General features: G+C 41.2%; 1 protein-coding gene and 2 pseudogenes across 7 annotated transcripts in view; 2 read left to right on the top strand and 1 right to left on the bottom strand.

Moving 5' to 3' along the window:
• The window catches only part of PTPRG (protein tyrosine phosphatase receptor type G), a 736,039-nt gene that overhangs the window by 163,293 nt on the left and 548,384 nt on the right, over positions 1-24,362 (bottom strand). For all 7 annotated transcript variants that reach the window (XM_017006961.2, XM_017006963.2, NM_002841.4 and 4 more), the window contains one exon: positions 1,649-1,715. In XM_017006961.2, the coding sequence (XP_016862450.1) occupies positions 1,649-1,715 (67 nt within the window). The remainder of the gene's footprint in view (positions 1-1,648; positions 1,716-24,362) is intronic.
• ID2B (inhibitor of DNA binding 2B (pseudogene)) lies at positions 9,599-10,891 on the top strand (annotated as a pseudogene).
• Positions 15,807-16,017, top strand: RNU2-10P (RNA, U2 small nuclear 10, pseudogene; annotated as a pseudogene).

Genomic DNA, 24,362 nt, shown 5'->3' with positions numbered 1-24,362 from the left:
TTTCTGCTGAATGAATAAGTGAACTTCCTTTGTAGGTCAGTGTATTTTGCAGGTCTCATCTGACTTCCCACTTAGAGGGTAGGGTTGAAACCACACCCCGGGCATCTTGGCAACCCTCCCAGAGCCAGATATCGTTTTTCCATATGTAGCAGCCTCTGCTGTCGCCTGAAGGTTTGTGTCCCCTAAGCAAATTCCTATGTTGAAATGCTAATCCCCAAGTTTATGACATGAGGTGGAGTCTTTGGGAGGTAAGAGCCCTGAAGAATGGGGCTAGTACCCTTCCAGAAACTGAGAACTGGGAAGAAACAATGGAAATATATATCTTTTTTTTTTTGAGACAGAATCTCTCTCTGTTGTCCAGGCTGGAGTGCAATGGTGCAATTTTGGCTCACTGCAACCTCCGCCTCCCGGATTCAAGTGATTCTCCTGCCTCAGCCTCTCGAGTAGCTGGGATTATAGGCGCCTATCACTATGCTCAGCTAATTTTTGTATTTAGTAGAGACAGAGTCTCACCATGTTGGCCAGGCTGGTCTCAAACTCTCGACTTCAGGTGATCCACCCACTTCGGCCTCCCAAAGTGCTGGGATTACAGGCATAAGCCACCATGCCTGGCCCAGAAATATCTTAAAATGAAAGCCTCTATGTGGTGTTTTCAGTAACCCTATTTTTCTACACTGAGTAGGTTTACTATTGTTACCTGCTGCATGACTGACCAATTTTGAGAACGGAACAATTAATCCAAAATCCTACTTGCTCCAATTGACCCCTGACAACTGGTTTTAGTTTCACGGAAAGAGAGGGGGAAGATGTTTGTTAAGCTCTATGGAGTTGGCTAATGTCTAAAGACAATCCTCTCAAAAAGGTGTGAAGATGTTTTATCACAGCTGTGGAGATGAAGGGGAGATTTATTATGGTTACTAATGCTATTTCTGTCAACGTCTCTGGAATTCTAATTAGATTATTAAAACTTTGCAAATCATTACATTACATCTCGACTACACACCTCACTGCGACAAGGGTACTTTTGAAATTAGAGGATCTTGATGTCATAGGTAATGATGCAGTGCAGATAATACAGTTGCAGGGAAATTCTTCCAATAAAAACCAGTTGGAAAAGACAGAACCCATTTATCTTACTTTCTCTCCCGGTTTTATGCCTGAGGATAAGAGATCTGCAGCACAGAACAGCAGCCTGGCCTTTTCCATTCTAGTAGCTGCATGACGCTTGTTCACATGCTGCAAAGTTTAATAACTTGTCTGGCTACTTAAAATGCTGCCCTAGATCTGTGATGCAAACCAAACATTTATAGGTGAAAAGACAACTGAAAGAATATTTTTAGGAGAGATATGAAACAAATGGCAAGTTCAACACATAAGAATAGTACATCTTAAGGTGTTCTGATTTATAACATATGCATTCAAACTAGTACCTGAAAAGAAACAAACTGCTTACTGTTAACACAGACCCATTTGCAGGTAATAAATGGGCATGCTCTTTACCCATCATATAATGGCTCTAATGCCCTTCAACATCAGGGGATGAGGAATAGGTGTCACCCTCTGTCCTCTGCAAGATAACCTGATTCTTTTAGGTAGAGATCTGAGCCCTTCACATCCCAGCAAAAGGAAGTGTATGTGGCATACTTACCATGATGTACGACACCCTTCAACCCGTGGATAATAGGATCCAGTGCAGAATTGTCCCTCGGACTGACCTAAATGTAAAGGAAACATGATTGGTTAAATCTATTCTGGCATCAGGCACAACAGTCTCAGTTTAATCTTCTAAAGAGAAGGGGGAGAATAGAATGTTATCTAGCAAGCTGCTTAGGTCTCACATACACCATGGCTCTCACCAAATGCAGGAGATTTATGACATCATAAAATCAAGTGAGGAAGTTTAAATCAAAAGAAAGAAACTTCTCAGAATACATTGTAACAGGAGAGAAATACTATAGTCCTAGCAAAATCTTAAAAAGCAACTGCAAGATTTTCTTCTTGCCTTGTTTTATTAAAAGTAGGCCCAATCGGCTAAAAAGTCATTGAAAGTCATGAGAGAGCAATCCATCATTGACGGAAAATTTCAACATCTTCTGGTGACTGTGTTTTTCCCTTCTTTTTAGAAAATGAATCTGTTTTCTGCCAGCCTATTCTCCTTCGTAAGGATCCCAGTCCCCTGTGAAAAAGCACATATTCTAAAAGTTATGGAAAGCAGAAGAGGAGGGGAGAGAAGCTTGAAGAGACAGTGTCTCCCACCTTCATTTCCTCCTGGGGTTTTTAATCCCCCTCAAAAGTCAAGCCTCTTCAGTCTTCTTCCCACCTCTTCTTTCCCTTAACTTTCTGATACTACTCAGCAGAACTCCTCATTCTTGCCCATTCTAGAAGATTAAAATTCTAGCAGCATATTACAATTTTGGCTTTCAAGTATTTTCTTTTAGACATACAGAGATATTTACAAATGACATGAAATGACGTCTTGAATTTGTTTCAAAATAATCCAAGAGTGAACAGCAGGGGGAGTGAGCGGGGTATACATGCCACAGGATTAGCTTGAATCAATCATTTATGACCTTGGGTGGTGGGTATAGGATGGGTCATTATACAATTTTCTTTACTTTTATGTATATTTAAGTTTTTCCAAAATAAAGAGTTTTTCAAAAATCTATTATCTACGGCCAGCATAGCTCCTGCTTCCCCCATCCCCCATTGATAGTATTTATATCTAATCCACTTCTCACATAATGAAGTTGAGATATTGATGAACCTTTCACTGTGTAGCACAATCCAATTTGATGTTTTCAGGTCAATTCAGAGGAATCAAGAGCCACCCCTAGAATTAATTTTAAGGTGACTGAAAATTTTCCACATTCCTTTTTACTCTTACAAATTTTCCCTGTTGGGTTGCTGTTCCTAGTGTGTCCTCTCTGACAATAACACACACTGCACACACTTCCATCTCTCCTAAGCCTCAGCATCTCCAGAAGAGAGCAGTGGTTCTCAAATGGGGGAGATATTGCCCTACAAGAGGGACATGTGACCATGTCTGGAGACGTTTTTCGTTGTCACATAGCAGTGGGAGGGGGATGAGAAGGGGAGGGGCTACTGACATCAAGGTAGAGGCCAGAGCTGCTGCTAAACATCCTATAATGCTCAGAATAGCTCTCTACAATATCTTTTCTGGCTAAGATGTCAGTGGTGCAGAGGTTGAGGGTCAGAAGCCCTCATTAGATGCTCTATGAGTTAATAGTGATTATATCTTAATGTCTAGAGCGTAAATTCAGAATACAGGTGCTACTAAACACAGGATTATGTTTATAGACTAATAAAATATGTGGAATTTGCTACTACATTGTAAACATTACAGATAAAAAAAAAAAATCAGTGAATAGGAACCCAGTGTATCAGACCATAAAGGTGGAATTCTGGGAGTTGGCATAAGTGTGCCTACAAATTGCCTGAGAAGAAGCTCAAGCCAGGGACTGAAGCGTGAAACATTCTTGAAAGGTAACTGCACAGAATACACCAAATCAAAATTGCATTAGAAGAAACATCGTATTTGTACCTTAGCAAGTAATTGATCAAAATTTTAAAACCTGGTCAAAAATGGAATTACAGCTCAGGAATGCAAGAGAAGAGAACCTAACCAGTAAAAGTGGCCAAGTTTCAAGAGGCCAGAATAGAATAAAATAAGGATCCCAGAGAATGATTCCATACCAAATTGAAGCTATAGACAAAAAGATGGTCCCTTTGATTCATTCTGGTGGGGATGCCAGCTTAACTATCTGTAGTTAGTTACTCTAATATCTGTGAGAAATGACAAAATGGCCACAAATTCCCTCTATCCCTGTTACATGTGCCTTTACAACTTGACTTTGCCCTCCTCTATGGAAAGTGTACACCAATTATTCCATTCTTTGAAATTGGGCTTGTCCATATGTCTTGCTTTAGTGAATGGAGAATTAGTGAACATGATGCAGACACAAGCTCATAAAACACTCAGATTCTTTGGAATCCTAAGATCAAATGAAGAATTCCAAGTTAGCCTATTAAAGGATGAGCGACTACAAGGAGTAGACATAGGTAGTCCTAGCTAACGTTCTTCTAGACTCACTGGCCTGCCATCACCAGACAGGTGAGTGAGTCCATTTGAGACCATCCAGCCTCAGTGGAACCATCTGCAGTCCACAGAGATGGGCTGAACTAGCCATACCCACAACTGACCAGCCAACCTACTGACCCATAAAACGATCTGTTTTAACTAACTGGAATCATTTGGTACACAGCAAAATTTAGCCATTAGTTTCCATGAGTTGTATGCAAAGGTAAAAAATGAGAAACAGGCTATGATACCAGTAGTTTTTTGAAACAATATATCTGGCTTACGGTTTGTCTTAAAAGTTTCCCAGTAATATTCCACATCACAAGACACAACATTTGCTGGCCACCTGATCAACTCATGTGCTCCTCCAAAAAGGTGTTATCCCTTCTCTACCATGGCAATGTTTCTCAGATACTCTGATCTTGGATCCTGAATGAGAGGGAATATTTTATAGTCAGGGGGACCACTATGGTTTGAATGTATCCCCAACATTTCACGTGTTGGAAACTTAATTCCCAGTGCAACAGTGTTGAGAAGTAGGACCTTTAAGAAGTGACTAGGTCATGAGGGTTCTGCCCTCATGAATAGATTATCATCATTATTGCTAGAGGGAATTTGTTATAAAAGTGAGTTTGGCCCCCTTGCAACCCCCTCTTGCTCTCTCACATTCTCTCTCTTGTTCATGTGATACGCGTTGCCATGGTTACAATGCAGCAAGAAAGCCTTGCCAGATGTCAGGGCCATTCTCTTGGACTTCTCAGCCTCCAGAACCGTTAACCAAATACATTTCTGTTCATTATAAATTACCCAGTGTGGCATTCTGTGACAGCAGCACAAAAAAGACTACGACAGGAACTTTTTAATGCATTTAGTATTATCTGATAATGTGAAGGCTCAAAGAAAGTGTTTCTAATCTTCCATGACTGATACACACCAATAATATTTGTAGGCTATGCAAAAGGAAAACAACCAGTCAACCTAGCCCAGGTTCAATTTTTGGTCACTTCTGATTACAGCTTCTCCATGTCTGATACTCAGACTTCACCTCATCTGAGCTCAGGAACGTGACCCCAGATTCTAAACAACTGCACAAATGCAAAGCCTTCTACAACATCCATTCAGCTCCCATCGTCTTCACTGGTGGTTAATATGGCTGGGGTTGAGAAGATGAATGAGGAGAAAAGGAGAGAAAATGGAGATTATTGGCTGGTCAAAGTAACTTACTAATAATACTGAGCTCATTCTCTGGTCTATGTCTTGGTTCCAAAAGTCAGGGTGGGGAATCCAAAGAGCATGCTAATAAGTGGATTTGTTCCAGTCAGGCATAACCCTAACTGAAATAATCCCTTTCACTCACTGTTTCAATCAATTTGCCACTTAAAAAAAAATTCATGGGCATAAGCTAAGCAATTTTGGCAGCTTTTAAATATGACAACAGTGAAGAGGGCTGTATTAGCAACCTGTGTTTACATTTTATTCTCCATCTAGGATGCAGGAGGCCAGGGATGGGGAAAATATGGAATTCTGAGTCAGGTATGGATGCTTTCAGCTTTAGTGTCCTTGTCTGTGAAATGGGGATACAGTCTCATAATGTTGTCATGAGGATTAAACGTTTAAAGTTTAGAGTATAATGCTGAGTACAAATGCCACATCCAATAAAGGACAATAACACCGGGCAACAAGTTGACCTAACACTTGAATTTAAATGAATGACAAACAAATGCAATTTATCCCTGAGCTTGTCAATGTGCTTGGCTCTGAAAGTAATATCTCCCTGAGTTCAAATTTCAAAAGATCCAAATTTATGTTTTACTTGACATCCACTCAATTTTGTAATATGCTGTTCCTTTTAAAGCCACATGAGAAGTGATCCTGGCTCTTGAAATTTGCTTCCTTCCACTTTAAGATCAAAGGAGTTATGCAGTAATACGGAGAAGGCAGCAATTGCACAAATGAGCTTAAAATGGACTAGAAGAAACAGACACCCCCTTTCCCTGCAGAGTTCGTACTCTCATTGCAAAACTTCGCTCCTGGCACTTCCACTTCAGAGCAGCTTTCGTGGCATTAGTCATCTTCAAAAAGATGGCACACAAACTCGAAAAAGGGCTCTGAATTAAAGCTTTTCAGTTGTCTTTAGATACAACCAAAGTATATAGAGATACTGACAATACAGAAAAACCATGAAACCTAGGTTCGGACTGAAGGCCAAATTCACATAAACGCTCATGAAATCTAAACTTCGTAACATTTTCTTTTCAATTAATAGCCCACCATAAGGATCCACACAATTATCAAATTAGTAGCCAAGCTATCAATAATCTCTAGAGATATGTTTACCTGGAGGCTCTACAGGAGGGCCTGTGTTTACTCTTGCTTGAAGTAAAATGAAAAGGAAGCACAGAGACCCCATCAGACGACATGTGCCTGCGTTCAGATATGTGCTGCCATTTACTTCTACTGTCCCCCATGCCATTTGGCCCTTGACTTGGATCCTAATAATTTTTGCTCTATCAAGTCCTGGCCATCTGCTAAATAGGATGGTCAAGACAACCTACTTGCCTTGAATCCGACACCGCCAGCTGCTCCTTTAGTTCCATAAACATCACATCCAGCCGATATCCTCTTGTGGGAAAAAAGGATTTATGCATGCTGAGGGTGAATGGCTATACCGTTAACCATGGCTGCAGAGGAAAGTGACAAAGGGCAGGACCAGAGACTCCACATGGCCTTCCAGAATTGCAGAGAAGAGGATTCACCCACCCCAGCAGTTAGCAGGTAACTGTGTATTCAGAAGCTAATTTGCTGTATGAGGACAAGGGCAAGCACTTCTCAGGATGTTTGATTTCACATCTGAATCTCCCCTCCTTCCGTGGCTCTTACCTAAAGAGCCACGTGGCAAGGATGCTGTAGCTTCTTTCATTCTGACTTCAACATCCTAGTGACCACTAACTAGATTTTGGTTCACGTTGCTGTCAGAAAGCATTTATAATGTGGTTATTTTGCATCCTTGCATTTTGGTTAGCCCTTACCCAGAAAGAGATCACTGCCTGGCTTCCTTTATTAATAAGTTAAACACTTGGCAATAATTTAGGAAATGTGGCCATGTTCAAGAAGACAATTTTAGCATGAAACCACTAACCACTGAGCTATATTGAAAACAATTTTCTTTTCCTGACTTTTCTTTTTAGTCTTCACAAATATTACCTTCCTTCTTGTATAGCCAATGGTCTTAGTTTCTGATATAGAAATGTAGTTTTTCCCTTTTGACATTCCAACATCATTTTCTAGTGTCTCTTATCACTGCTGCAATGTGATATTACAAAAAGCAGAATCAGAGATGTTGGCACATGTGGCATCCCAAACTGCCATGAAATAAGTCGGAGAGGAATACAGAGACACAATTGAGAGTGATGAATGGCAAAGGAAAAAGGAGCTCTGTAAACCTGTAGGACTTTTCATGAAATCCCGATAAAGATGAGTAACCAAGTGTGGATTCCTGGTCTAGAGAATTGCTTTAAATGCAACTACTAAATTCCAGGATCATACATTAAGCCTAATCTAACAGATAAGCAAAATGTCACCGAGGCCTCTCACAGAAGTGCCCCTGACTGAAGCAAAAGGTATGGCCCTGTATCATCATCTATTTTCCAGGATTTGACAGGGACAGACTCCTAGGACTGGTTTCCATCGGCAAATGAGAAAACTCCTAATTCCTCAGCCTTGGGAAGGGATTAATATGAAAACAAAACACAATTATAAATGCTAATAGGATTCACCCTCCCCACTTCAAACGCAGCTTGAGCACGGACATGGCTTACTTACTGTTAATTCATAATATTAATGGAAACTAGTTAATTCACAGGTTATTCATCTCCAGAGAATTGAGATTCATGGTCAGAGAAGGCCACTTGAGGAAATGAATTTTGTGCTTTTGATCTACTTAAACTGACCATTCTCTGGCCTCCTGCCCCTGCCTCCCCAACCCACCAGAGTATTTACCATCTCATTGTCAGACTTGGCTTGGAGGAGTGCATTACTGGAAAAACCAATCCCCGCAGGGTGACAGCAAGGCTGGTAGCAAATCCGTACAAAATGGCAGATTTTGCCAGGAGCAGTCTTGCAGATTGTCAATACATGCAATTTCTCATTTTCATGAGGATCAAACTTTGGATTCTCTCAACACGCCATTTCAAAGCCAGAGCAGAAGAGAGGGAGGAAGTGGGATGGCTGGGGTGCCTGGCAAATGGTACTCCCGTGGGGGCCCGCATGGTGATTTTTGTCCTTCTGTCTTTTTAATACACTGTGTTTCAGAGACAAGAAGGTTTTGGGAAAGGCTTTACAGCATTTCAAGCCGGGGTCCCAGAACCTGTCTGTCCCACCCCTGCCAATCTTCTCAAAGTGCAGGCTGCTCCTGAACCGGAGAGGTAAAACAGAAATTCCAGCTTTGCAAAGCATGACCTAGAGTCTTAAGCTACGTTGCAAACTGTTTCACACAGATATTGTCATGACGTTTGAATTTAAAAAAAAAAAAAAAAAAGGTATGAGATCTGGGGAAGCCTGGGGCAAAAGGAGCTTATTTCAGGTTCAGTGACTTGCCTACAAGTTTCTCCTGATTCTGTGTGGCAGTGCTGGACAACTTTGACTTTCCCTTGTTAATAATCCCGCCATACACTGAAAAGCCCCAACAATATCAAAGGCTTAGTGGAGAAGGCAGAGCCGACTGTTTTCACATGTAGCAAGTGACTTCAACCAAAACACATTAGATGTGAACTCTCACCCTTGTTTTTTCATTCCCTGGAAGCAAAAAGCTACTCAGGGGCACTCCATTTACAAAAGGCTCGAAATCCAGAAAACACTGAGTGGGGATGGCTTTAAATTCCCATCATGCATGCAGCATGAAAAATATAAGAGACAAGGCACATTGGATCAAACAGGTTGCCAGGTTGATCCTTCTTTTGAAAAAGAATCCCTCCATAGGAGTAGGTAAGATTATCATTTTGCAGTATTAGGAACGGGGGAAGACCATGTAAATATCATGTAGGTATCATATGTAGAATGTTAAAATGACGTAAATGACCTTAAATACCCCTTTATAGTTATATAAAAAGGTGACAGGGGGACAAAGCTAGGGGCCCTCAGCTCAAATTATAAGCACTGGCTCCTTAAACTCATTGATTCAACCAATATGTACTGAATTCTACTGCAGACTGTGATGGGCTCACTCTAAGATGATCCTTCAAAGACCCCTGACTCCAGGTATTCAGACCCTTATGTAATCACCTTCCCTTGAGGGTGGGCTAGATCTAGTGGCTTAGTTTTATTCAGTAGAATAAGGCAAAAGCAATGTTATGAAAGATTCTGGCCATGCGCAGTGGCTCATGCCTGTAATCCCAGCACTTTGGGAGGCTGAGGCAGGAGGATCATTTGAGGCCAGGAGTTTGAGACCAGCCTGGGCAACACAACATCTCTAGAAAAGAATTTTAAAAATTAGCCAGTGTGATTCTGAGCCAAGTCCGGTGCCAAGCGCAGCTAGCTCAGCAGGCGGCAGCGGTGGCCTGAGCTTCAGGACAGCCAGCTCCCTCCCGGTCTCACCTTCCCTCGCGGTCAGCATGAAAGCCTTCAGTCCCGTGAGGTCCATTAGGAAAAACAGCCTGTTGGACCACCGCCTGGGCATCTCCCAGAGCAAAACCCCGGTGGATGACCTGATGAGCCTGCTGTAAAACATGAATGACTGCTACTCCAAGCTCAAGGAGCTGGTGCCCAGCATCCCCCAGAACAAGAATGTGAGCAAGATGGAAATCCTGCAGCACGTCATCGACTACATCTTGGACCTGCAGATCACCCTGGACTTGCATCCCACTATTGTCAGCCTGCATCACCAGAGACCCGGGCAGAACCAGGCATCCAGGATGCCGCTGACCACCCTCAACACGGACATCAGCATCCTGTCCTTGCAGGCTTCTGAATTCCCTTCGGAGTTAATGTCAAATGACAGGAAAGCACTGTGTGGCTGAATAATCATGACTTCTTTTTTTTCTTTGCACAACAACGACAACAACAAATTCACAGAACCTTTTAAGCGCTGAACTTATTTTTCAACCATTTCACAAGGAGGACAAGTTGAATGGACCTTTTTAAAAAGAAAAAAAAAAGGGAAGGAAAACTAAGAATGATCATCTTCCCAGGGTGTTCTCTCACTTGGACTGTGATATTCGTTATTTATGAAAAAGACTTTTAAATGCCCTTTCTGCAGTTGGAAGGTTTTTTTCATATACTATTCCCACCATGGGGAGCGAAAACGTTAAAATCACAAGGAATTGCCCAATCTAAGCAGACTTTGCCTTTTTTCAAAGGTGGAGTGTCAATACCAGAAGGATCCAGTATTCAGTCACTTAAATGAAGTCTTTTGGTCAGAAATTACCTTTTTGACACAAGCCTACTGAATGCCGTGTATATATTTATATATAAATATATCTATTTAAGTGAAACCTTGTTAACTCTTTAATTAGAGTTTTCTTGTATAGTGGCAGAGATGTCTATTTCTGCATTAAAAAGTGTAATGATGTACTTATTCATGATAAACTTTTTATAAAAGTTTAAACTTTTAGTTGTAAACGTAACCCTTTTATACAAAATAAATCAAGTGTGTTTATTGAATGGTGATTGCCTGCTTTATTTCAGAGGACCAGTGCTTTGATTTTTATTATGCTATGTTATAACTGAACCCAAATAAATACAAGTTCAAATTTATGTAGACTGTATAAGATTATAATAAAACATGTCTGAAGTCAAAAATAAAAAACATTAGCCAGTGTTTGGTGGTGCACATCTATAGTCCTAGCTACCCCAGAGGCTGAGACGGGAGGATAGCTGGAGCCTGGGAGTTAGTGGCTACAGTGAGCTATGATAATGCCAAAAGGAAGTGACAGCAGCCTTTGGCCAACAGCTAAAGAGAAGCTAAGCTCCTCAGTCAAATAGCCCTTGAGGAACTGGGTTCTGCTAGCAATCTAAGTAAAATTAGAAGTGAATCATTCCCCAGTTGAACTTTCGGATGAGATCATAGTCCCAGTTGACACCTTGATTGTAGCTTTGTGAGAAACCTTGAATCTGAGGACACACAGAAACTGAGATGATAAATGTGTGTTATTTTAAGCTGCTGAGTTTGTAGTAATTTGCTCCATATCAGTAGATAACCGTATGCCAAGAACTGAGTAGCGGAATAGAATACGTCATTGAACAAATCACAGTGCTCTGCCCTCATAGAACTGATGATCTAGTTCTAGCTCCCACAAGACAGGTTGGGGGCCCTGGCTTCTGTAATGAACCCACACAACACCATTTTCCTTACACTGCTGCATCAGCTATCAAAAGGCATTTCCCCTCCTTCTAGATGAGTTCTTGCCCCTCATGGACCTCAGCTGCTATGTCACCGTTTCTAGAGTTTGAAAAGAAGCAGTTTGTTTAAAATCCAAGTTCCAACCAAGAAAACTTGGCAAAAATAATGAGCGAACCCCAAATGGAGCAAATAAACATCGATAATCAATTCTGGGATATAGAATTTTCAGTAGCTTTTATGTTTAAACAAACATAGAAAACCAATTAATTGCAGCACAGAACCTAAGTGAAAGGTGCCACTGAACAAGTCACAGAGTGTTATGCAGTGGCGTGGGTGCTGCTGTTTCATATCCACAGCAATTAAGTGTAAACTAATTACATATCCTAAAGCTTTTTTTTCTTTTAAGAGGGGGTAGTTTTACTCTGTGCTTTCTTGGAGCACTGAATGATTGCTCTCATAATGTAGTCTCTGCAGATTAAGTATCAATTCACTCTCCTAAGCAATACCTCACAGGCCATTCCCTATTCCAAACCATGGGCTCATGGAAGGGGTTTGCTGCCTGATACTACAAGAGAAACTTAAGCTCCTTGTCATCATCCTCTATGAAATAAACCTGCTAACTCACCTAAACATTGTACTTCATTCACAGACAAACTAGTGAAAACTGTTTTTAGGGAGCTACTGTTAAAGCTGTCGGAGCATTTGATTTAAGGGTCTCAGTAAAGCTATGTTTTTTCAGGGTGGGGGGTTACAGATAGCTTATTTAAGTAGACAAACATCTCAAAATCCACAAATTAGGGAAATTCCTTTCTGGGAAGAGGCAGTCTAAACAAAATCCAGCCCCATCTCGAGGAGGACATAGATTAATGCTAACTGAAGAGTTCAGCTTTGTATTTAACATGCACCTGAGTTCAACAGAGGTTAAAATTAAATTGCAATGAGGAAAGACAAAATCTTTCCTGGCAGGCCTTGATTGATAGAACGTGCCATTTGTAGCAGAACAAAATGGAAAACCAGAAAGTTTGTTCCCAGCAATCATTTCCTCACTGGGCCAACTCTCTCTCCTCTGAGAAAATAATATGATTTCTTCATAGAGCATGTAGTCTACTTATTTAAGCAACTGTGCTCAGGATCTTTCAATTCTTCCAGCAGTTTGGATGGAAAAAAATGGTCCCAGTAGGGGAGAGGGTGGTGTAGGTAACATTTAGCCAGGAAGAGGCTTATCTTATGAAAACTGCCATTGACAGTAACCTGGGAATAAGTAACTCCATAGAAAACGTGCAGATGGATCCCCTGTAGGTGAACACGATGAGCTCATTTTAAACTGCAAGCTGGGTACCTAAGACTAGTGTAGTGGTTAAGTACAGGGTTTCTGAAACCAGGATGCTAGAGCCCGATTCACAACCCAGCTCTTCTACTTAGCAGCTGTATAGTCATGGGAAAGTGAATTACAATCTAGTTGTGCCTCAATTTCCTCATATGTAATGTTGAGATCACCCCCCTGAAAAACCTCATAGGGTTGTTAAGAGGATTAAATGAGTATTTAGCACAGTTCCTAACACATCCAAGATCCGTGAGTATTTAGCACAGTTCCTAACACATCCAAGATCCTTAAAAGCTGTAGCTATAGGCTGGGCGCGGTGGCTCACGCCTGTAATCCCAGCACTTTGGGAGGCCGAGACGGGTGGATCACGAGGTCAGGAGATCGAGATCATCCTGGCTAACATGGTGAAACCCCGTCTTTACTAAAAATACAAAAAAAAAAAAAAAATTAGCCAGGCTAGTGGTGGGCGCCTGTAGTCCCAGCTACTCGGGAGGCTGAGGCAGGAGAATGGCATGAACCCGGGGGGCACAGCTTGCAGTGAGCCGAGATAGGGCCACTGCACTCCAGCCTGGGCGACAGAGCTGGCTGTCTTGTGAAAAAAAACCTATAGCTATAAGCCATTCTTTCTCCCAAATAAGCAGGCATGCCCTGCTGGTACCCAACCAGGAACACACAAAGTTCCAAAAATACTCCAACTTCTGGCTATAGACAGGTCAATCATTTTTGAGTCCTGAACTAAATTCAGTCAATCACAATCGTCTACCCACACCCCAATCTTTCATCTTCCAATCTTTTTCTTTTTTTTTTTTTGAGATGGAGTCTTGCTGTCACCCAGGCTGGAGTGCAGTGGCACTATCTCGGCTCACTACAACCTCCACCTCTGGGTTCAAGCGATTCTCCTGCCTCAGGCTCCCCAGTAGCTGGAATTACAGGTGCATGCCACCATTCTTGGCTAATTTTTGTATTTTTAGTAGGGATGGGGTTTAACCATGTTGGCCAGGCTGGTCTCGAACTCCTGACCTCAAGTGATCCACCCACCTCGGCCTCCCAAAGCACTGGGATTACAGGCGTGAGCCACTGCACCTGGCCTTCAATCTTTTATTTTAATACAATTTTAACATTTTTCCATCCAGCAGACTAAATCCCCAAACCTAGGAATTATTTTGATTCCACCCCTTTCCTAACCCATTCACTTCCTTTCTTGACGCCCAAAATTCTGGAAGATTCTACCTCCTAAATGCATCTTAAATATGACCACCACTTCTCTGCAGTTCCTCTGGTCTAACCGTATCCTGGATCAACACCATCTTGTACCTAAACCACTTCCAGAAGCCTGACCTAACTGGTTTGCCTGCTTTCTCTGCTGTACCCTCCAATTCTTTCTCTGCCTGATAGACCAGTAGTTGTTTTACCCTGGCTGCCCACTGGAATCATCTTTAACCAGCTTAAAAAAAAACCCAAAAAACTAAAAACAAAAGTAGACTACAACAATGACAAAACACTATTCTGATTGACCTGAGGGTGTGGCCTGGGCATCTGGATGTTGAAAAGCTCCCTTGATGATTCTGATGTGCAGGCAGGGATGAGAACCACTGAGTCAGAATGAGCTTTTAAAAATAAATCTGGCCGGGCACGGTGGCTCACGCCTGTAATTCCAGCACTTTGGGAGCCCAAGGTGGGCAGATCACGAGGTCAGGAGATCGAGACCATCCTGGCCAACATGGTGAAACCCCGCCTCTACTAAAATACAAAAAAAAAAAAAAAAAAAAATTAGCCAGGCGTGGTGGCCCATGCCTGTAGTCCTAGCTACTCGAGAGGCTGAGGCAGGAGAATTACTTGAACCCAGGACGTGGAGTTTGCAGTGAGCCAAGACTGTGCCACTGCACTGCAGCCTGGGTGACAAAGCAAGACTCTGTCTCAAAATAAATAAAAAAATAAAAAAATTAAAAAAAAAAAATCTAATCACAACCCATGCCAGCGTAAAAGCTCTCCCAGATCTGGGCCCAGCCGACCTCTGGATTCTTCCAGGATTTCCATGGTTCCCTACAGGACTCCAGGGCCTCCTTCCTCTTCCTCAAATACTCGGAGCATTTCACTGCCTCTAGGCCTTTGCCCGCATTGTTCCCACTGATTAGGCCGCTCATTCCTCAGCTCTTTGCAGGGCAAGTTCTCAGTCATCAGAGCTAAGCTCAATGTGGCTCCCATGGGAGGCCTTCCCTGGCCCATTCCAAATGTTTGCTAACTCAGTACTCTTGTTAGTTCCTTCCTGGCACCAGTCTGTTTGTCAATTCCTAAAGCTCAGGGTACAGCCCAACTGGTTGCGTCAGCTGAGGAAATCCAGGCTGGAGAGTCTCTGAAATTTAAGCAGGTCAGAAATGCTCACACCCACCTGTAACACAACCTCTCTCCTGCACTTCCTACCCTTCATTGTAATTACCTGTTTAGAAATCTGATCGCTTGACTGGACCAGAAGCTCCCTGAGGGCAGGGCTTGCACTTTATTTAGTTTGTTTCGTATTCCCAGCTCTATCTTAGTGCCAATACAGAGCTGGTGCTAACAAGATGTTTGCTTCCTAGAAGAAAAGCAGATAGCTATTAAAGAGGTGAAGCAGGGAAAAGACGTTAAGGAGGATGAAGCTAAAAGAAGACTTTAATCAGGGTATCTAGAGAGTTCAAAGAGTTCTGGGATTTATGTCCAAAAGATGTGATCCAAGTCTTGGCTGTGTGACCTGAGGTAAGTGACTTTAATCACTCTGGGCAAGTGGACAATGACACACACCTCCTGGGTTGTTCTGCAGGGGTAAAATGAAAAGATGCCTGTGACACAGGCATTATTTTTCCACTGTATACAGACCAGGGGATTATCACATTGTGGTGAGATTTCTTTTTATTTTCTTTTAATCCATGACTGAAAAGTGGTATGGAATTAAGAAGGAAAGGTAAAAGCAAAAAACATAAAATTTAAAAAATAATAGTCGTCATTATTAACGAGGACTTCTAAAGCAAGTTTCTAGCCTTTTTCCTTTTTCTAGATCAGAATTTGCTCCTAACACTTCTCAGCCTTTTGGCTAAGATCAAGTGTAGAATTTGCTCTTAACTGGTTAAACACAAGGTCTTCCAAGTCAGGTTGCCTTGGTTCAAATTACACTTCTATCATGGATGAGGTGTGACAAGGGCCAGCACACTATGACCACCAAGGCAAATCCCACCCACAGACTGCATCTGTAAATAAAGTTTTATTGGAACACAGTCAGGTCCACTCATTTACATATCGTTGGTGGCTGTTTTTGTGCTACAAAACCACAATCAAGCAATTGGAACAGAGAGCTCATGGCCTGCAAAGTCAAAAATATTACAATCTGGCCCTTTGGCCCTTTATAGAAAAAGTTTGCCAATTCCAGTTTTACACAAACAAATTACTTAACTGTCCTAAGCCTCAGATTCTTCAGTCTGGAAAACGGAGATATTAATAATACTTCCCTCTTAGGGCTGTACTTTCCTCAGAGGGCTGAGGAGAGACCAATGAGATAATCCACATAAAATACTTCACACGATGCCAGGCACATGGCAAGAATTCACTGATGAAATTACTGAACAGTAAACATTACTGTTAAAATTATCAGTGCTAAACTTCATCCATCCACCTATTCATTAATTCACCCACTAATTCATACATTCAACAAATATTTACTAAGCACCTAATAAGTGCCAACAATTATACTAGGATGTATTGTACTGCAAATATATCTATTAGACAAACAAAAGTACAGACAAAAGAAAATGAAATTTTTCTGCCAGTCAGATGCTCGAACCCTGTGAATTGTGTAATTGTGATATTAGTAGATATAGTATTAATACTATGTTAACCAGACTACAAGTTTTGTTTTGTTTGAAGATATACTGCAATAGGAAACCCAGTGCCTCTTCCACAGTAAGCCTTCAAAATATCTTTGTGGAATGACTGATAGATTGATAGTTGTTACCAACCGGGGAGGCTTCTAATGATAAAAAACTGCACAAGTTTTATGGCACAGTAAATGAACCATACCTGTAAACATCACAGGAAAATCTCCAAAAATCTAGAAACAGCTTTTTACAAGTGTTGTGTTAATCAGATCTTGGTATCCCTGCAAATGTAATTTAAAAGACTGAGCATGCTCTGAGAAACGTGACAGTTATTTTAGAATGTTAAATATGCGAAGTTCAACATTTATATAAGGCACAGTGCAATGATTCTGTTGGTAGAACAATATACAGAATTCAAGCAGTTTGTGAGCTAGCTGGGAAAAGTCCCCTTTAAATTCTCAAACTTTATTCTTACATTTTCAGATGAAACCTTTGTAAAATGTATTGCATGCTTCATTGCCTCCTTAAACATAATTTAACCCTCTATAAATGACTAAAGATGGTCCGTTTGAATAATAATTGGGTCACCAGGTTCTAATAAAGCAGAAGTCTCAGGGTACACGTTCTTCTGCAAGTGTCATAGAAAGTAAAGACACACAGAACCCTGAAGAGCTCTCTAGTGAATGTAGTATGTGTGTTTTAGTGTATAGATATGGTGACATATAAATTGGTGCCTGTGAACCTTTAAAATTATTTTAAAATTATTGCCTGTGCATTAGCTCCTCAAGACTGTCAGGTCACTGATCCACTTGTAAGCTGGGTGACTTATAAGAAGTCTCATTAGGAAACAACTCTAAAACGTGGAAGTCCTTAGTTTAAAATGGTCTTCCCATTAGACATTGAGGTCCCAGAAGAAATGTGTGTTGTGATTTGCCTGTTATCTTTATTTTTCATTGAGGTGTAACATAAACCAGTAAGCTACACAAATGTTAAGTATATAGTCAGATGCATTTTCACATCTGTATACACCCATGCAACCTCAGCCAGATGAAGACAAAAATTTCCAGAACTCTAGAAGGCTTCCTTAAGACCCTCCAGTTGATAGCCCCATATTCCATAGGCATTAATGGAAACATACACCAGAATCTTGTCTCACCTTCTTTCACTCGTCGTTATATCTGAGATTCACCCATGTTTGTCCAAGTAGTAGTTCATTTTTATTACTGTAGAGAATACCATTATGTGAAAATATCAAGATAGATTTATCCAATGATTTGCTGTGTTTATGGTAAATTATTTCTCTTTCTGTTGCATAAAGCATCACCAACTTGATGCAGTTTATGGAAAGAAGATTTCCGGCCAATAAAGCACATCAGAGTAGGGTGTAACATTTCAGGAAAGGAGGCAGCACAGCAATCATGCTGAATTTTAACTTTTTCCAAAGGATACTAAAAGGCCTACCTGATACTAGATGGATTTTCAATCTGTCCTATGACAACGGAAGTCAGCAGAACCTCACAGGCAAGTGCAAGGACTTTAAGAGTTGGGCAGACCTTCAGGTTTGGGTTCTGGGCTCTGGTTAGCTGGTTGACTTTGGGCAAGTAACTTAACCTCCTTGAGACTCAATTCCCCAAACTCTGACAACAACTGACAATAAAGACAACACTGACAATAAACCTCTTACAGCTGTCATGAGAGTTGCTACAATAATCCACTTATCGAATAAACACCCCAAAATACTGGTTATTACTGTAATTGAAAAAGTTGCTTAAAATATACTGAAACCTTGACCGGCAAATTAAAAACATCATAGGAAACTTATTTTTTGAGCAACCCTTGTAATGATATTCTTTCCCACTGTAAGAATGTGCCTTGGGGTCAGGAGTGGTGGCTCACACCTGTAATCCTAGCACTTTGGGAGGCCAAGGCAGGTGGATCCCTTGAGCCCAGGAGTTCAAGACCTGCCTGGGCAAAATGGAAAACCCTTGTCTCTGCAAAAAATACAAAAATTAGTCCCACTGTACTCCAGCCTGGATGACAGAGTGAGATCCTGTCTCTAAAAAAAAAAAAAAGAATGTGCCTTGGATCAATCTATATGGTGCCTGACACAGTTATACTCTATAAGTTGAAATTCTGAGATACTAGAAATTAATAATATTGATTTCAAGCAGATATAGAAGTGACATTAATTCTCTTTGGGTTTGGCTATCAGTAAAGAGCAAACATGAGTTTCACGGTCTTTCCTCCATTACCAATCACTTTTCATCGAGTGGTAACCTACCTGCTTATACTCCTCAACCCTTGAAAACCTCTTGATATATGCTACCAAAAAAAATTTTAGTTGAGAGTCTGCACCAAAGATAAACACTCTTTAAATCACCCAAGGGAAAGGGGTTTTTTTCATGTGTGATTTCTAGTCATCTGCATTAATGTTGAGAAGATAAACCAATAGGAAGGTTATCTATGAATTTTAGATACTCTGTACACCACCTTCCATGAAACCTGAGGGAGATTAAAACTCTGTCTGGTTGGTAGTCAGGTCACTCAGGTATGGATCAAGAGGTAGGAAGATAAGAGATGAGAAACATGTGACGATGCTCTGAAAATCTCTATTTTTCTGATGACCTGAAAATCTGAGCTTTAACTCTGCCTCTGTATAATTGCAACAGTCAGTTGAATCCCAGTTTAGCAAAACAGTGTCAGTAAATAGTAGCCCAAGAATGTAAATTACCATAGTGATTTGGGGCTTTAAAATAGTTACTAACATTTTTATGGCTGGGTGTGGTGGCTTATGTCTGTAATCCCAGCACACTGGGAGGCTGAGATGGGAGGATTGCTTGAGGCCAGGAGTTCAAGACCAACCTGGACAACATAGTGAACCCTGTCTCTACAAAAAACTAAAAATTAGTAGGGCAAGGTGGCATGCACCTGTCCTAGCTGCTCAGGAGGTTGAGATGGAAGGATTGTCTCAGCTCAAGAGTTCGAGGCTGCAGTGACTTATGATTGCACTAAATGCACTCTAGCCTCAGAGACAGAGCAAGATCCTGTCTCAAATAAATAAATAAACACATTTAAAAAATTATCTTGGTATGTTTAGAGGTTAACATTCCTTATTCTGCTTCTTACTGACTCTGTTACATAACTCAAACAGTTGAAGTATATGAAGTACTTTGGCTACTACATGTAGGAAAGAGAAAGAATATCATAAAAGCACAAGAAACTTGTGAGATAAAATAATGACTCCTAAACAACAACAACAACAAAAATGCCCTGTGTTAATGAGAATATGGTCAACTGATTACCTGTGTACTTGGTTAAGAGAATTACATGAACAACAGCCTTTCAAAATTAAAACTGAGTATACTTGTTAACCTAGGAAATCTACGTTTTTTTTTTGTTTGTTTGTTTTTGTTTGAGACAAAGTCTCACTCGGTTGCCCAGGCTGGAGTGTAGTGGTGCGATCTTGGCTCACTACAACCTCCGCCTCCCAAGTTCAAGTGATTCTCCTGCCTCAGCCTCCCAAGTAGCTGGGATTACAGGCAGGTGCCACCATGTCCAGGTAAGTTTCGTATTTTTAGTAGAGATGGGGTTTCACCATGTTGGCCAGGCTGGTCTCGAACTCCTGACCTCAGGTGATCTGCCCACCTTGGCCTCCCAAAGTGCTGGCATTACGGGTGCGAGCCACCACACCCGGTCGGAAAGCCACTTCTAAGACTTTTAAAAAATAATGTGGATAAGTGGATACGGGCATAAACATATCAATACAACATATCAGTATTTTTTATCAGAGGATGACAATCTGAAGTTACTCTAATAAATCCATAAATAGCTACCTACTATGAATTATGGCACCGCCATTTAGTGTCAACTATGAAGTAGTTAAAAAGGATGAGGAAAATCTGTATCTTCTAATATCAAGACATGATTATTACATATTACTAGGGTCAAAACCACTTTATAGTAGTTTCGTTTTATTCAGGTAACATATTTGTAAGTGTTTTTAAAACTTCCGACAGCAGAAAGGCAAACCTTACTGGTTCCCTCCAGAGGGTAGGATCCCCTTTTCCTTAATAGTCCCTCATGTTGCTTGACATTTGTACAAGCATGATTATTTTTACAACCAGAAAAAGTGATCTGCATTTCGAAAACACATTGTATTCAAATGTTGATATATTGCATATGTCAATTTTCATATTTTTATATATAATTTGGTATGTGTATTTTACGATTTGGATCTGTGTATATATCAAATTCGGCACATTTGTATCAGATATATAAATGATTAAATTATAAATAAGTATTTAAATATATCACAGTAAGCATTTCAGCAAAGAGTAACCTAGGTAGGGTGAGTGGCAGGAACTAGAGTGGTGCTGATCGGTTTCCAGCTGGCTGCTGTGTTTCTGACACAGTGTCAGATGCTGTCAAACCACAGCTGGACTCCTCTGTGGCAGGTAATAGGAACAGGCCATATTCCCACACAGCTAATCTTTAATCTACTTCTCCTCCCATGTGGAGCTGGATGGGGTCAGGAGATGCCAATATGGAATTTCTCAGCAAACTTCTGGGAGCCTGGCCTCATCCTGACCTGGGTAAGGAGCACAAGAAGATGTTGCACTAAACCTAAGAAGCTGGTTTCCCAAATAGGCCCAAAGTTAAATCATCTCTCAGACATGAATCATTTTTTTTGCCCCAAGAATTGTGATACATATGATTCTCTATAATCAACAGGACTTCAGGTGGTACGGTCTGCTCCGAAAGGTGAAAGAGACCTAAAGACATACACCCCAAAGTGACCTCCAAAGAAACAGTCGCAGAAGAAGAGTCAATCATGGACATCTGACACCAAACTGGAGAAGTCACCTCAGGTTTGAGTTGCTGTTTTTCTTTCCCATTCCTTCAGGACCACTACTCACAGACACGAACGTACATACATCTTAGGGAGATGGTAATGTTTCCAGGTGTTACCCTGATATCAGTTGTGATCTCTTTCATTTCACCAACAGAACCTCTGAAAACTTAGCAAAAATGACTGCAGTCCCTGCCTCTAATGCCCAGATAGGACTCGTAAAGGTCTACCTCAAATGCTAGAAGCAATCTGTTCCTCAAATAATAGTAACAGTTAATATCTACTGGGAGCTTATAAAGGACCATTCACTATACTAGTGCTTTACATTCATTATTTCTCTTTATCTACAACAACCTTAAGAGTTAGAACAAATAATCATTCTCATATAACAGCTCTGGCAATTAAGACTTTGAGAGAACAAATGTTTGCCTAAAGGCATAGCTAGAAAGTAGTAGTGACTGGCAGGGCGGGATGGCTCACGCCTGTAATCCCAGCACTTTGGGAGGCTGAGGTGGGTGGATTGCTTGAGGTCAGGAGTTTGAGACCAGCCTGGCCAACATAGTGAAACCCGCCTCTAGTAAAAATACAAAAATTAGCTGCGCATGGTGGTGCGTGCCTGTAATCCCAGCTACTCAGGAGGCTGAGGCAGGAGAATCACTTGAATCTGGGAGGCAGAGGTTGCAGTCAGTGAGCCAAGATCACACCACTGCACTCCAGCGTGGGCGACAGAGTGAAACTCCATTTCAAAAAAAAAAGAAGAAAAAAAGAAAGTGGTAGTGACTGGGCTTCAACCTGGGGCCATGGTGTTTCTGGTACAACCCAAGCCACTGCCTACTCATCATAATTCCTATAACTCACATGCATGGTTTCCTCTTTAGGCCTCATTTATCTAATCATTCAAGTCCTTAAGAATGGCAGAGAACACCAAAACAAAATTTTTTAAGTCCTACAGATTCATACATACATACACGTAGATGAGGGCTTTGAGGACAGATATGCAAAATCAACATCCTCAATTTGCATATGGAAAACAATGTTTCTGTGGGACAATTGACATTTAAAGGAAAAAAAGATCCAGGGTGACAATGATATTTCTGGAATACTATGTTAGAAAATGGGCCCGGTGGTGGCTCACGCCTATAATCCCAGCACTTTGGGAGGCCGAGGCCAGAGGGTCACCTGAGGCCAGGAGTTCAAGACCAGCCTGGACAACACAGTGAGACCCTGTTCCTACTAAAAATTTGAAAATAGCCAGGCTTGGTGATGCGTGCCTGTAGTCTCAGCTACTTGGAGGCTAAGATGAGAGAATTCCTTGAGCCTAGGAGGCTCCAGGCTGCAGTGAGCTATGACCATGACACCGCACTCCAGCCTGGGTGACAGAGAAAGACCTTGTCTCTAAACAGAAAAGAAAATGACAGATTCTTTTTACTTCAGTCTTTATCAGAGAGCCTTTATTATGTTAAAGCACACTGTCAGTCTCTAAGAGGAAGCTGTGCTAGACTAGACATCACTTTCCAGGACTTGATCGAGGTGGAGCATCTTCCAGGAGTACTGCTCCTCAAAGGATGTTCTGGGAAAGGCTGGCCTCGTGGATTCCAGAATACCACGTTCACCAACAGTTTCCGAGCTCCGCAGGCACTGCCTGTTGATTTGACTTAACTTCTCTACAAGAAATGCACAGAGAAGGGGACACAGTTCCACTCAAGGAACTCACTACAACAATTCTGGCATAATAACATCTTAAATATTATTCCATACAGTGTACATGTATGAAGAGAAACCAGACTCCCTACATCTGGCTCCAAGAATCTTGGCTGTGTAAAGGTTCCAAAGCTAGAATCACTTCCCACAGAGCCCTACAATCTCTAAAACAATGACATTCCACAAGCTCTCCTGCTTCATCCCACACAGCTTGCTTCCAGTAATTTATACAGCCAAAGAGATGCCTCCTAAAGCCCCAAAGTGTGCATATTCAGACACCATTTCAAAGATCTAGTGTCAGAAACTATTTATTTTCCTTGATTACAGAGAACCTACCAACTTACAGCCCTCGCAATTTCTACCAGCAAGTATTGTGTATGCAGAGAAAGTGGGAAACAATTGAAAAGACAAATGAACGCTCATGCTCTTAGAAATGTGAACGGATTGTATAGAACAGAATACTGGTGTTCTGCAACATCACTTAGTCTAGAAATATGAAGCAATACAAATGCTAATGGGACTGTATGCTGCCTTGCAAACTCTATTGCACTTTTCACACACACAAGTCCTGTCTCTCTGAAAAACTTGCAAGGTAGAGCGTATCATTCCTTTTTTTTTTTTTTAAAGCATCTACTCCAATGCCAAGCCTGCAGACGTTACTGAATAAATCTCTACTGAGTGGATAAATGCCTTCATATTATGGAAGCATAAGAGGGCATTTATTTATTTTGTACTCAATAAAGTCGCGCTGGGGAAAATATTCAGCACCTGATTATGGAACGTCCGATGTAATCAGACTAAAATCAATTATTGAGCATGCTGAACAAAATAGCTGTTGGTCACAAGTTGGTAGTTTGGTGGCAATTCTTTTTGTAGGTGGCTTCTCTCTTAGCACATCTCTTTCAGTTAGGGTCCTGTCAGGAGACAGAAACCACGTCAGTAATTTGAGCAGGGAAAATTTAATATATAAAGAATTGCTGACAAGTAAAAGATAGGTAACTACCAAAAATGGGGAGGGAGGTCTCTAAGGGGTACAGGAAAAGCTACTGCAAAAAAAAAAAAAAAAAAAAAAAGCCATTATTTCTAGAATAGAGAGAGAGCTACTGAACAAGGAAGAAACTAAGAACTCAGAAGAGGGCCCTCTGTGCAAAGGCTGATATTTAGACCTTGAGAGGGCATGAATGTCACAGGAACATGGAACCTCTGGC

The sequence above is a fragment of the Homo sapiens genome, chromosome 3 (assembly GCF_000001405.40).
Source record: "Homo sapiens chromosome 3, GRCh38.p14 Primary Assembly".
NCBI classification, from domain to species: domain Eukaryota; kingdom Metazoa; phylum Chordata; class Mammalia; order Primates; family Hominidae; genus Homo; species Homo sapiens.
This window is presented reverse-complemented; position numbering and strand designations above follow the sequence as displayed.